At 37.3% G+C, this 15,042-nt stretch overlaps 2 protein-coding genes across 4 annotated transcripts in view; both read left to right on the plus strand.

The window, feature by feature from the left end:
* MMP26 (matrix metallopeptidase 26) overlaps positions 1–1,258 on the plus strand; it is a 287,646-nt gene extending 286,388 nt beyond the window's left edge. For all 3 annotated transcript variants that reach the window (NM_021801.5, NM_001384608.1, XM_011520219.3), the window contains 3 exons: positions 200–325; positions 793–954; positions 1,043–1,258. In NM_021801.5, coding sequence (NP_068573.2) covers positions 200–325; positions 793–954; positions 1,043–1,071 — 317 coding nt within the window. In that variant the 3' untranslated portion in view covers positions 1,072–1,258. The remainder of the gene's footprint in view (positions 1–199; positions 326–792; positions 955–1,042) is intronic.
* Positions 1,259–3,679: 2,421 nt separating this feature from the next.
* On the plus strand, positions 3,680–14,365 carry OR51L1 (olfactory receptor family 51 subfamily L member 1). The gene is made up of 3 exons (NM_001004755.2): positions 3,680–4,164; positions 6,311–6,412; positions 7,653–14,365. Exon 3 carries the CDS (start codon positions 7,812–7,814, stop codon positions 8,757–8,759), a length of 948 nt encoding a protein of 315 aa, NP_001004755.1. The 5' UTR covers positions 3,680–4,164; positions 6,311–6,412; positions 7,653–7,811; the 3' UTR covers positions 8,760–14,365.
* Positions 14,366–15,042: the final 677 nt, after the last annotated feature.

Genomic DNA, 15,042 nt, shown 5'->3' on the forward strand with positions numbered 1-15,042 from the left:
TCTTTTTACCCTAGATAAGAGAGTAGGAAGATTTTGGGCCCCACCTTATTTCTCTGCATAGATAATGCCTTAGCTCTCTCACATCCCCCAGTGGTAGACTGTTGCACAGTATCCTAAGTCTCTGAGGCTTACTTAAGACTATTCTGGCCTTTGTTTCTACCTCCACCCTCATTGTGATCATAGCTTCTGTCGTCCACAGCCCATGAAGATGGTTGGCCCTTTGATGGGCCAGGTGGTATCTTAGGCCATGCCTTTTTACCAAATTCTGGAAATCCTGGAGTTGTCCATTTTGACAAGAATGAACACTGGTCAGCTTCAGACACTGGTAAATGCCTTGTTTGGTGGGATCGCTAGAACTCTCTGGGAACCTGGGGTTCAGTGTTGATGGTTTCCATTTAGGGATCCAGAGTGGTCAGGGTGAGGTGGAAGATTTGGCTGAGGAATCAGGTCTTCTTTATAAGTGAGGAGATGTGGGATCATTTCTGAACACAGATGATCCCATAATAAACACATTGTCAGATTGTGTTTTTTTCTCCTTATCTCTTTGCTTCTATTTGCCAGTCCCTCTTTCTTTCCATGTGTCTTTTTCACTTCAAGTTTATCTGTCCAAATATCTTGCCATTCTGTTTTCTACTTACTTTCTTTCCCTCCTTGCCTACCTTTTCCTTTACCCTGTAACATTTGCCCTTTCCTCGTTTTCTGTTCTCTCCTTTTTCTTTGTCCTATTTCACACACTTTCAGCATTCCCTATGCATAGTTAATTTTATCTTTTTTTTTTCTATAATTTTTCAGGATATAATCTGTTCCTGGTTGCAACTCATGAGATTGGGCATTCTTTGGGCCTGCAGCACTCTGGGAATCAGAGCTCCATAATGTACCCCACTTACTGGTATCACGACCCTAGAACCTTCCAGCTCAGTGCCGATGATATCCAAAGGATCCAGCATTTGTATGGTCTGTGCTGCTTAAGGAAGAGAAGGGAGATCTGGGCAGGAAAATTTCACCTGAAATTTACTGTTGTTTTTTTTTTCTGTTTCCATAGGAGAAAAATGTTCATCTGACATACCTTAATGTTAGCACAGAGGACTTATTCAACCTGTCCTTTCAGGGAGTTTATTGGAGGATCAAAGAACTGAAAGCACTAGAGCAGCCTTGGGGACTGCTAGGATGAAGCCCTAAAGAATGCAACCTAGTCAGGTTAGCTGAACCGACACTCAAAACGCTACTGAGTCACAATAAAGATTGTTTTAAAGAGTAATATTTTGTCCTCATAATTTGATATGTCTCAGCATTTGCTATGTTCAACCACTGTGATCAGAACAAGAAAGAAGTGTACACAACAGTGGAGAACTCTGGCAGAGATGGCCACGGGACTGCAAGAAAAGAAAGCATAAGATTAGGAATAGACCTTTGCATTTTCCTACACAGGTAGAGTTTAAGGAATGTTATTTTCTATGCTGTATTGAATATGCCAGTTATGGAGACCAATTGGTTTAATGGCTTATCTAGTTATTAGCTATGAAACTTTGGTTAAGTCAAGTAACTTAAACAAAGTTAAGTTCAGGGCAGCTGAATCAACACTCAATTCCTAACAAGTCCTTTGCATCTCAAACTCTCCCTTTGTATTTGCTTCTGGAGAACCTAACCTCTGAAGTTGACTATTTGAAAAGCCAATGAAACTGTCAATCTACTGTGACACTAGTAGTATAAAAAAGAAAATGCATATCAAAACAACATGAGTAATGAGAAAAGCAGATACCGTGTGACTACTGCAGATCTTGAAAAATTATGAAAGTACTTAAGAATAACTTATAACCAATAAATATCAAAATGTATATCCAAACTATGTATTCCTAGATAAATACAATTTATAAAAATTGGTAAAAGAATAAATAGAAGATCTAAATGGTCCTATAAATGTTGGATAATGTAATCCTTAATTACATCTCTCCACAACTAGTTTTAAAACTGACAAAGAGAAAACCTGAATTGTCCGTAAGGATTAACTAGAAAGCCTATAATTAAAACTACCCTGGGATGGCCATTTAATTAAAAAACAACATACCAGCATATGCAAAATCTTCCCGGGGAGAAGAGAAAGAATATTTCTTCAGGTATTTTAGAGCTTTGTGTAATCTCAATCTCATAACAAAACATGACAAAGACATTACAGTAAGGAAAATTTCAGGCCGTGCTTACTGATGAACATCGATGTCAAAATTCTAAACGAAATATTTGCAAACCAAATCTGGCAATAAATAAAGAAAAGAAAATGGCATTCCAAACTTGAGTTTATTCCAGAAAGACAAGTTGATATTTGAAAATCAATCAATATAATTAATCACATTAACATGATATTAAAGAAAAATAATATGTATCATAAAAGCATGAATTTCAATAAACCCAAAATAATTTTATGAAATTCAGCATCTATTTTTGACAAAATCCCTTATCACATGAACAATAGAAGATGACAACATTCTCGGATAAAAGCAGGTACAAAAAATCTTAGCAAACATACTTAATGGTAAAATGTTGTTAACCACACCTGTGATATCTGCAAAAAGAAAAGAAAACAATTTTTATCCCTTCTCCCCAAAATGCACTGGAGATCTTATCCAATGCAACAAAGCAATAAATATAGAAAACGATAATGAAGATTTTAAATAAGAGAAAAAGAAGCTGACATTACTTGTGGAGGTGTGATTTGGTGCAAAATAAGGCCTTAGAGAATACAGATCACTTATTAAAAATAAAAAATAAGTTCAGCTTTTCTGAAAAAAGAAAAATTAACTTTATTTTTATGTAACAGTCCCAAATATTTAGAAAAAATTAATCATGCTACTTACGTTAGCACAATTGAATGCCAAATATGTGAGAATAAACCTAGTGTAAAATATGTAATCTCCAAACAGACAAGTATAAAATAATATTGAGAAAAAATAAAGACCTTAATTAATTGAAGTTCCTGTTCTTGGATTAGTTATCTTACATTCTAAACATGTAAATTCTCCCCAAATCGATCTACAGATTCAATACATTCTCAATAGTAGTCTCAATGTATATCTTGGTAGAAATGGATAACCTGTTTCTAAAATTTATTAATAAATGCAAAGAGGTAGGATAGCCAATATGCAAAGAAAAAAAATGTGTTGGGAGATGATGCTTCTTACCAAGCACTGAGGAAGCAGCAATGAACTGGATAGTAGCGTTTGCCTTTAAAGTGCTTAGTGTGCCTTCTTGAACCCTGTTGCTTAATAAATGCTTATGAAGCACATGACTAATAAATAACTCTGTTTAGTGAAATGTGGTAAACATCTTATAATGGAAAGACTTATCATTGCACTTTCTCATCATTGTTCTGTACAATGCCCCTAGTTAAAGCCGAAATTTCAGTATTCTTCTGGATCACAGTAGTTATCATAAATTTACTTTCTTACACTCATTTGAGAAAACTATTAGAGAACTAAGAATGGTGGATGAAAACAGGGATGCATTTCTACTATTTTCAGTATTATGATCATATGCTCTTGCCATACCTGTGGTTAAGGGCTTTTTATGGCCATTTCATCTCTGGGGATCCAACAGACTCTGACACCAATCCCTAATTTTCTTTGCCAGGAGACACCAGGAGTATTTATAGAGATGGTGGAAGCCTTCAAGCCTCACCACTCACAGAGTCGAAGGTTTTCAAAACCTGAGGTTCATAGAGACTTAAAATTGTAGCATCTTTAATCAGTACAGGTTTGATTTTCAGGTAGAGATGGGAAGTTTTCTCAGGTGAGAGATAAGCCCGTAAGAGCAGCAACTTAAACCACAGACACACAAAGAGAAATTAGAAGAAAGAAACAGCCAATCAAAGGGACCGGAAAAAATAGAGGATTACATGCTGAAAAGACACAAACTTAGATAAAAACAAAATATAAAAAAATGGCAGCAGGAAGGAGGCTAGAAAAGATAGTAAAGATAATTTGACACATAAAATGAGATAAAGAGAGAAAAAGCCACAGACATAGGAACAGAAAGAAAATATGACTTTAACTATAGTGAAGAAAAGTTTAGTCAGAGAAAGACAAAATGGAACTGTGGATCATTTGAGAAATGGGCTACTGATTGCAAATTAACTAGGCATATTGATTCAATTGCCTTATATTTAAATTTCAGGTAAGTGTGAATTTTTAAATTATAAATAGTTGGTAGATTTTAGCACATTTTGTATGTGGATATAGTTTGCTAAAGAGAGTAAAATTATGAGAAAGATGATGTACCATTTATGCAAAAGGAAAAAGAATTATTCTCATCTGTGAAAAAAATTAAATTTATTACAGTATTGTAATGTCTTGTTCCAATTATTTTCAGCGATTTTAAGATAAGCGATAAGCTGATTAGCAGAGAATAGGTTTTGATACTAGAGAGGCTGTAAAAAAATGGTCTTATGTTCAGTAGTTCTCCCTTAATTACCTGGAATAGGTGAATGTGTGACATAAGCCTATTCATGCCTCTGCCCTTTGAAACAGTCTTGTTATTACTCCCAGTTCTTTTCTATTATTTCTCTTTCGACCTCAGTGTGATTAAGTTGTACTAAAATCAACAAAGAACCACAAAGAATCATTGTCAGTGACCCAGAAATAGAGTCAAAAGAAAATGAATAGAGAAAAGACAATAAATGGATTTTAAAAAGTGAAAGACATGACAGATATGGCAGTGAGAGGATAAGAAAGGGAAAGTACACACAGAAATAGAAACGGGAAAGGGGCTTAGGGGGCCCGGGTAGTGGAGGAAATGCGGAAAAGTAGCTCAAAGCATACAAACTTGCAGTTATGTAGGAAGAATAAGTCTAGAGATCTAATATACAGCATGACCACAGTTCATAATATTGTAGAATGGGAACTCTTTTCAGGTGAGGGATAAATCAATGAGATAAAGCAGTGAGTTAATAATATTGTAGAAATGGGGACTCTTTTTAAGTGAGGGATAAACCAATATGAGCAAGAATTAAAACCACAGAAATTGTATACCGAAAATTTGCCAAGAGAGTAGAGCTTAGGTGTTCTTAGCATACACATGCACGTGTGTGCATGCACACACACACACACAGGCACATAGTAATGACCATTTCACTATGTATATGTCTATGTATATGCATATATATATATAAACATCATTCTGTATACCTTAAATATACACAGTTAAAAATTAATAGGGATTACAAACAGAAATATTCCTGCCTGTCCTAACCTCAAATCTATTGGCCAGTCTACAACTGAAGTTTTCTAAACATCGCAATCTGCACATAGGGGACTTGCACATAAAGCAGGGAGAAAGAGAATTCTAAAGAGTAGTGATCCACTTTGTTCTTTGCATTCTATGTGAGAATTTAAGAAAATATGATTTATTTCAGGACTGAAAGAATTAAAGGAGAAAACATGGAATATTTTTCTGGCATGGGGTAAAATAAACTACTTCTCCACTGTGGCCACAGTTTTCTTTTCTTTTTCTTTTTTTCTCTTTCTTTCTTTTTCTTTCTTTTCCTTCCTTCCTTTCTTTTCTTTTCTTTCTTTCTTTCTTTCTTTCTTTCTTTCTTTCTTTCTTTCTTTCATTTCTCTCTCTCTGTTTCTTTCTTTCTCTCCTCCCTCTCTCTCACTCTGTGTGTGTGTGTGTTCTTTTTATTTCGATGTTAATACCTATATCATTTTTATGAGCTCAACTGTACAACAGGAGGTCAAAAAATTTTTCTGAGTGAGGAGAAAGAAAAAATAAAGTCAGCTAGTGATATGGAAGACTGGAGAGAAAAATGTTGCTTAGGGGTGAAGAAAAATAAATGCTCTAAACACATACTCTGCTGGGTGTGAAGAATTTGATGGGTAGCTGACTGCTTTATTTAAGACGAGGGTCTCAAATGAAAGCTTCATTCACATTGCCTAGGCTAGAGAAGAGTACCAGGTTAGGTTCTGACTCATAGAAGATGGAGGATTCCTGTACTTGGGTAAAAGTAGAAAAAGAGACAAATCCTTCTCATTACATGGAGAAGAGGGCTTTGTGCTTTCTTTTGTTCCTCAGATACAGATTCTAAATCAAGTCCTCTTTGGAATTCTAAGTTGTGCCATCTAAGAACTTTCAGTCTTCACGGTATGAAAGTGAGATAAGAATCAGTCAAGGGATTTTTAAAATAAAGCTTTTTATTAAATATAATGGAGATAATAAAAAGAAACAGCTAGCTAGCTGGAGCCTTGTGATACGAGTTTGAGACCACATTTGGAAATATTTTTACTCTAGGATGAGGCTAAGTCTTATCTTAATCTTTCAAAAGGTCAGAGACTAAGGGTCCAGAAGGAGGGTTGAGGGAATTACTGAGATGTTGCTACAGAGAGATGTTGCTGAAGTCTATGAGGCCCAGACTCTAAGGGACAAGGTAAGTAAATAATTTTCTCAGGGGCAGTTAATGGAACTAGACAGGGTTAAAATAAAGACCTAGGTAACAGAAGGGGCAGATAATCTCATAATGCTCAGCTGCTGTACCAAGTGCCATCAACACAGTATGATACAGCAAGGGCAACACTGGTTCAGCACAGGCAAGGAGGCTATTACAATAACAATTGCTGAGGGAAAGTAAAGCCAGATGTTAATATCATATTTTGAAACACTCAGAAGAGCTTGGTTGTTTCTAAGAGGCACTGATAGTGAATATTTAAGGCCTAAATTCTGGATTGTCATGAGTTCACAGAAGTAGGTGCAAGTGGGTCAGAAAATTAAGAACCACTTAATATTTTGATTGATGATCTTTTAAAAATGATATTAAAAGCATCGTTTGGAAACAGAAATCAATCAATCAAAAAAATCAATAGAAATAAAGTGGAAAAGTACCTCTTTTACTGAAAACATGTAATAGATAACTGTTAAATGCATTGTTCTCATTTTGTGGAAGAGCAGAAAGGGAAATGTCTTTAATGGACTTTCGTAGTTATATTGTGATGTTATGGCCTAAAGATTTATTTTCAAACTATTTAAACTCTTATTTCACAAACACACACACACACACACACACACACACACACACACACACACGCATATACACTCACACACTATATATATAGTTTTTTTACCGTGAATTTTTTTTTAGGTCAGGAATAGTTGCTATACTAAACAGCTCAAAACTGTGTTGGTTAAATAGCAGCTCAATAAAGCATGCTGGGATTATGGATTCTGGTATTATGGATTCTGTTTCTTATGTTCATGCTCTCTTTTCATATAGGGGTATTTATCTTGTATTATTAAAATATTAAATATTTAAAATGTTTAAATATTATAAATCTTTAAATAAAAATGCAGCTGAATAGAAATTATGTTGAGTCCATGGGATCAATTCGATTGTCATGAATGAAAAGATAGCCTAGAAGCAATAACTGATTAACTCAAGAACATTGGCCAGAAACTCATACAAATCCATCGACATTCACTCTGACTTTTCTCTATTTTCATCTTTATAATAATTAGTAAAAGTTCTTTTTTCTCTATTCTCACGTTGCTTAAATTCTTTAGTGTCTTTGATGCAAATCCAACGTATTTCTTGCCAGAGATGACCATATTTGTGTAGTCCACATTTTTGTTCCAGAATTTGTGCTCCTTAATATTGGGAAATGTTTTTTACATAGGGCCGACAAGAGATACCAGCTTCCTTCCTCTGTGAGGTTAGACGAAAGATGTATTTTTGTCCTCATTCCATTATTTGTACTCAAAAGAGATAACTTTGAGGGATCAGGAAGGAAAACACGAACCATTCCTCACTACTTGCTGAATTACTCAAAGTCACTATGGGAGACTGGAATAACAGTGATGCTGTGGAGCCCATATTTATCCTGAGGGGTTTTCCTGGACTGGAGTATGTTCATTCTTGGCTCTCCATCCTCTTCTGTCTTGCATATTTGGTAGCATTTATGGGTAATGTTACCATCCTGTCTGTCATTTGGATAGAATCCTCTCTCCATCAGCCCATGTATTACTTTATTTCCATCTTAGCAGTGAATGACCTGGGGATGTCCCTGTCTACACTTCCCACCATGCTTGCTGTGTTATGGTTGGATGCTCCAGAGATCCAGGCAAGTGCTTGCTATGCTCAGCTGTTCTTCATCCACACATTCACATTCCTGGAGTCCTCAGTGTTGCTGGCCATGGCCTTTGACCGTTTTGTTGCTATCTGCCATCCACTGCACTACCCCACCATCCTCACCAACAGTGTAATTGGCAAAATTGGTTTGGCCTGTTTGCTACGAAGCTTGGGAGTTGTACTTCCCACACCTTTGCTACTGAGACACTATCACTACTGCCATGGCAATGCCCTCTCTCACGCCTTCTGTTTGCACCAGGATGTTCTAAGATTATCCTGTACAGATGCCAGGACCAACAGTATTTATGGGCTTTGTGTAGTCATTGCCACACTAGGTGTGGATTCAATCTTCATACTTCTTTCTTATGTTCTGATTCTTAATACTGTGCTGGATATTGCATCTCGTGAAGAGCAGCTAAAGGCACTCAACACATGTGTATCCCATATCTGTGTGGTGCTTATCTTCTTTGTGCCAGTTATTGGGGTGTCAATGGTCCATCGCTTTGGGAAGCATCTGTCTCCCATAGTCCACATCCTCATGGCAGACATCTACCTTCTTCTTCCCCCAGTCCTTAACCCTATTGTCTATAGTGTCAGAACAAAGCAGATTCGTCTAGGAATTCTCCACAAGTTTGTCCTAAGGAGGAGGTTTTAAGTAACCTCTGTCCTCCAACTTTTCCACTGAAAATCTCATGGAAGCTGTTTTAGTATATGAAAAGTAAAATATCTGGGTGTTGCTCATCTGGTTAAAATCCTAATTCTTTCACTTCTTATACATGTAATTTCAGTTAATCTTTAACCAATATGAAACTCAGGATTTTTTTGGACAAATTGTGACAACTATGGCCTTACGTTGTCCCCAGGTCATTACAAGACTTATAATAGAAAATGTATGTGCTAAGTCAAGTTTTTTGAAAACTATACAAAATTATTAATGTTATTAAGTTGTCATTGTTGTTAATGATAACAGTATTTTCCTTCTTAAATGTAGCTGTGTTTATATTGTTTCTCATGTTAATTATCTAAAACTCAGAAATCAATCTCTATCTCTTTTACTAGTACTGCTGCACGTATTTTGTTGTTCATGCTACAATGTCATAACTGTTTATGAAAAATTTGAGTCCTTAGGGCAAGTTTGGAACTTGAGTTCCTGACAGGATTTTGACCTGCTGCTGTGGCCATTTGCTATGTACAAGTTCTAATCTCATCACTTAGTGATGTGTCCTTTCTCTCATTGCTATTCTAGATCTATCAGCTTCCTCAATTTGCCAGCAAATACTGAGTTAGATACATGGGAGTGTTACCAAATATAGTTTCAGTTGATGCCACTTGCAAAATCATATAACAAGAATGAAGGTGGTAAGAAGAATGTTACTATTCCAGAGCTTAGTGATGAGAAAGGGCCAGATTTGTACTGAAAGGAGACACTTCAGCATTCTGGGCAGAAAGCAGGGTTTTAATAAGAGAAATTTTGGTATGCAGGCCATGCAGAAGGCACATAGACTTGTGGGGTCTATAAGGCTTGCTCACGGATGTTTATCTTGGGTCATCTGGTGGGTCATCCAGTAGTCTGGCCAGTGGGGGAGAATTTGGTAGGGTGCTTGGTTTGTTTTAAGACTTGGTCTATGGAACTTCTTTTTCTTTCTTTTTCTTTTGAGACTGAGTCTTGCTCTGTCACCCAGGTGGAAGTGCAATGGCGTGATCTCTGCTCACTGCAACCTTCGCCTCCTAGGTTCAAGCAATTCTCCTGCCCCAGCCTCCCGAATAGCTGGGATGACAGGTCTGCGCCACCATCCCCAGCTAATTTTTGTATTTTTAGTAGATGCGGGGTTTCACCATGTTGGGCAGGCTGGACTCGAACTCCTGACCTCAGGTGATCTGCCCACTTTGGCCTCCCAAAGTGCTGGGATTACAGGCGTGAGCTCCCTAGACCAGCTGGCCTATGGAACTTCTAAGAAAACGTAGAGTAATATAAGGAAGTCGTGCTTGCAGGTGGTTTGGCCAGTGGAAAGAAAGGAATGTAAAGGTCGTAATTGCATTACTAAAGAGCAAAATAAGAGGTGACGGAAAAGGGGAAAAATTGTAAAATATACATATATATTTTAAAGAAAATGGGGTACTCAGTTACAGGAATTGTTGAAGAAAGCCTGACAGTACATGTCTAACCATCTGGGCAATTGTGTTGACTCTGTTCAATACTATAGGACAGGATTTTGTGTCTTAATTTGTGAATGGGTTAAGAGTTGTGCACAATCTCAACCCTCATCTTTTAATAATACTTTTACCTCTTGTTCTACATGCCTGTGTGGATCTGTAGTATTGTGTTTTTAATCAATTTATTTTTGATAACCCATTACTTTTTTCTTTTTCACTAGAATGAACTACAGATATGTTTTTATGGGTGATATTTTATTATTTCATATAAATTCACTTTCTTTTCAGCTGTATAGCACACTTTTTGAATATGGGGCCATGTCTATTACCTTATCACAGCACTATACAGCTGGTCTTCCCCAACAATCATGAGTACTCATTAAATAATTGAAATAACTATTATAGTTATTGCTGTTAGTACTGTGGATATATAAACAGCAAAATGCATAACGTTAATGTTAAATAATGAATGTTTAATAGTGAAGATACATAGATAAAAGGTTAGTAAAATTAAGTGTAATCAATGGTATTATTGGAACAGGTACCTTTTATAATATTGATATATTAATAAGTGGTCAATTTCACTTGAGGATTTAAGAATCAGTAATCAGAGTAGTTGACACTTTCACTGTGCATTGTGAGTCAAATTCATTCTTGACCAGTTGAACACAGTTGGAAATAAAGTGGCGTACCAAAGCTGGCACATAAGAGACAATTGTGCATATCTTGTTCTGCTTTTGTGCTCTGTAATGTCATATAGGTTAATGAAATTGGTTATGATGGAAGTATTTAAACCACAGAAATTGGTAAACATTATATATCAGGACTTGAAATTTTTTCTTAGAGAGGAGGTGGTTAAACACTTACCAACACATCACTGGGAAAGGTATTCTAGAAAGAGGAGGTAACATGAAGAAAGCAAAGAGGTTAGAAAGAGTATGTGTTAGCAACGTTCTTCAGTCTAACTTAAAACTTACCCAAAGCATTTTGCATTTCCTCCCACAAAAAAAGGGCTCTGACATGGGCTATGATGGACAAAGATATGTAGTTTCAGCCCCATTTCAATGAAAGACTTGTAGCCCCAGCTGCTGGCAGTAAGTCCAGTAGAAAGCCTTCAATTTTTTTTTTTTTACCTTTTCAGGAATTGCCTCAGCTGGAGAAATGAGCCTTGCCTGGGGTCATCCACTGACACATTCAATGACTAATGTAGAAAGTTGGAAAGGTCTGGCCCCTTCAGCCCAGTGAATTTCACTGGGCAATTTTATATCCAGGACTCCCCGTGATGTTGGACAAGGCTATCTTCAGGCCTGATTCACAGGTCAACTTTTCCCTCTGCCCAATCCTACCCACTTTCATTCCTTTTCATTTAAGATGATTATCCCAGGGATTCTCTTATTAAACAAACTGCACACTAAATTTTACCTCAAAGTCTGCTTCCCAGAGAACCCTGAAATGAGAAGTTCTCAGAAAACCTGTGACGTAAAGGTGTTAGGGGTGGCTAATATCCAAGTCTCATGACATCAAATATATTACTGGTGGAAGGTATTCAAGTTACCAGTGGCAAATCCATACGGGTCTGCAGCAACCTCAATTTTTGCCTCCTCAGAAGAAAGAAATTGACTGAGGGGCATAAGGCAGAGAAAGAGATCAAGGCAAGTTTCGAGCAGGAGTGGAAGTTTATTTAAAAATGCTTTAGAAGAGGAAAAAAGGAAAGTACGCTTGGAAGAGACCCAAGGGTAAATTGAAGGACAAGTGCTGTGTTTAACCTTAATCCTAGGACCTTATAGTCTGGCGCCTTTCCCGTGATCCTTCCCTTAGAGTGGGCTACCCACATGCACAGTGCCCTCCTTACCCTTAGGAAGTGAGCATGCACAGTGTGTTTAGGAAGTTGTACACGTGCCCATCTGAGGCTTTCTTCCCTTTCTCGGTGGTGTGCCCTCAGAAGGTCATACTCCTTCATTTTGTCTCTTAATGCACATGTCTAGAAAGTTACTTCCTTTTGGCATCTGCATTCTATTAGCAGTTTAGTGCAACAGGTGTGGACCATCAGGAAATGGCCTCTCCCTGGCGCAGGCTGCCAATTTATCACTTTTAGAGAGGCAATGTGATAATTGCCCAACCATTGCCTAACATTACTAGTGGGTAAGCTAGAGCCCTTTCCTGCCCCACTCATGCCTAACTACCTGTAACATAGAAAGATAAAATAAAATTCTCAAGGATTCCTTTTTTTCAGGCAGATGAAACAGGATGAGAATTCAAGAGCAAATATCCATGGTTTTTAAATCTCTTAAGTTTCAAGCGGAAGATCAAACACAGTGTGTAAGCCTGGAGAACTAAAAATAACCTATAATTCAAGTTGACATTGTGAGATGTATGTATACAACCATCTTCTACAATCTATGTACTTTCTTAATAGTATGTCTGATGACTAGAAATGTTCTTAATTTTAATTAAGTCCAACTTATAAATTTGCTTTTATGTTTAGTGCTTTTGTGTATTTTTAAGGAGATATTTGCCTATTCTGTCATTCAGGATCCAGTAAGAAGACAAAAATCACACAGTAATTTGAATAGAGTTTATAAATACAAATACTTATTAATTTCATAAGGAAATCAACTTTAAAGAAGGTAAAGACAACGCTGAGTAATACCCTAGAGCTAAGAGAGAATATTGAAAGAAAAAACAAACTTGGAAAATGGGGAAGGTACTCCCCAAGCCCGAGGTTGAAACTTCATTTGAGAATGCATAGTCTTAGCATCCTGGATGCCAGAAAAGGTCATTACATTGCATGTGTTTAGAAAGACACTTCTGTGGGGTATAGGTGAACCAAGGCTGAGAGACTAAGATTCCTTTTCAGGACTGAGTAGTAGGAAGCACCAGGTGAGCTGAGGCTTGTAGGCAGGGAACTATAGTTGGCATTGGCAAGCAAATGATAACCCCCCTTTGAAGTACAGGTGGGCAGCAAATCACAGTTTGGACTGACAAGCTGGAAACACCCCTCCAGGGTCCAAATAGGTTATTTGGGAAGCCAGTCCCTAGAGTAACTGCAAGACTCAGTAAGAGTCTAGCCATATGGGTATTGTTGAAATTTGATAGGATGAGTATTACTAAATATTTCTCATTACACGCCTCTGGTAGAAGAGAGAGAATAATCAAAGAGAAGTACACACGAACTTCTCTTACAAGTGTCCCTGCGGCACCCTCTGCTGGCCAAGTTTAACATCATGAATCTGTGAAGGAAAAAATGTCCATTGAGCCCAGTTCCATTGTTGCAGAGTAAGCAATGAAGTCTATATTTGAAACTGGGACAATAAATAAATAACTGACACATTTGCTGATATTATCAATGATGTCCTTCTGTGTAATTTTTGAAAGTTGTAAGGCTTTCCTTTTGATATTTCTAAATACAACACATGTAGAATTTATTTTTATGAATGATGAGGTAAGGTCAAGGCATATTTTTTGATATGAATACATAGTTCAGTCAGAACTATGTAAAAGAAAATAAAAATTGAAGGACCCCCCAAACTTGTGCAGAAGTAAAGACTAAGTCCTGAAGCTGAATCATTGCAACACTCTCTTCCACATGAATAACTGTTACTAACATTATATATCAGCCAGACTGGAAAGGTAAATGGCCTCAGGCATCTGGGAAGGGCTACCCACAGATCATTCATAAGTAAATTCTTTGCTTGCCTCCCATAAACAAGGACACGCTAGTTGTAAATTTAGGTCCACAATCCAGGTCTAGCTCCTAAAACTCCACACCGATTATGTCACTTACAAGTTTATCTTCCCAGGTGCAGAAAAGTCAAGATTCATTTTCTTCACCTACCCAGAGACGACTACATGATTGAGTCTTCCTTTACTCCCTTTCTCGCTTCAGACATTCACCTTATCTTACGTAAAATGTAGATTTACTGAACACTAACTGAAGTCTCAGGAATGTAACTATTTCCCCTACTGCCCAACCTACATGCCTCCCCCTTCCCCCTTTTAAGGAAATGGATAAATACACAATGTCCTGAAAACCTTTGTGGAAATAGCCACAGATGTGTCGGTGGCTTTTGTTTTTCCCAGAAGTGCCCTAAACCTGGCTTAATAAACTTCAGTGATTGAGACTTATGCCTCAGTGACTCATTTTGGTTTTCAATCATCTATTGAATAAAGCATTATTCATCCCCTGTACCACAGTGCTTCCATTGTCATATGGTGAAAATGTATATATTTGGGTCTATTTCTCATATTTCTCTTCTGTTCCATTGGACATAATTTTCTATCATTCTGCTAATCCATGACTGTTGTTAATTATGATTTTATGGTAGGTTTTGTTATAAGGTAGTGTGAGCCCAACAGTATGAGGGTTACTTGTTCAAATGCCCTTAACTATGTTGGTATTTGATATGGTTAGGTTTTTTGTTCCCACTCAAATCTCAACTTGAATTGTAATTCCCATTATCCCCATAATCATCACATGTCAAGGGAGAGACCAGGTGGAGGTAATTGAATCATGGGTGCTGTTTCCCCCATGCAGTTCTTGTGATAGTGAGTGAGTTCTCACAAGATGTGATAGTTTTATAAGAAGCTCCTTACCCTTTGCTTGGCACTTCTCCTTCCTGCTACCTTGTGAAGAAGGTGCCTTCCTTGCCCTTCCCCTTCTGACATGATTGTAAGTTTGCTGAGGCCTCCCCAGCCATGCCGAATTGTGAGCCAATTAAACCTCTTTCCTTTATAACTTAACCAGTCTCAGGCAGTTCTTTATAGCAGAATGAAAATGAACTAAT

The sequence above is a fragment of the Homo sapiens genome, chromosome 11 (assembly GCF_000001405.40).
Source record: "Homo sapiens chromosome 11, GRCh38.p14 Primary Assembly".
Lineage (NCBI taxonomy): Eukaryota > Metazoa > Chordata > Mammalia > Primates > Hominidae > Homo > Homo sapiens.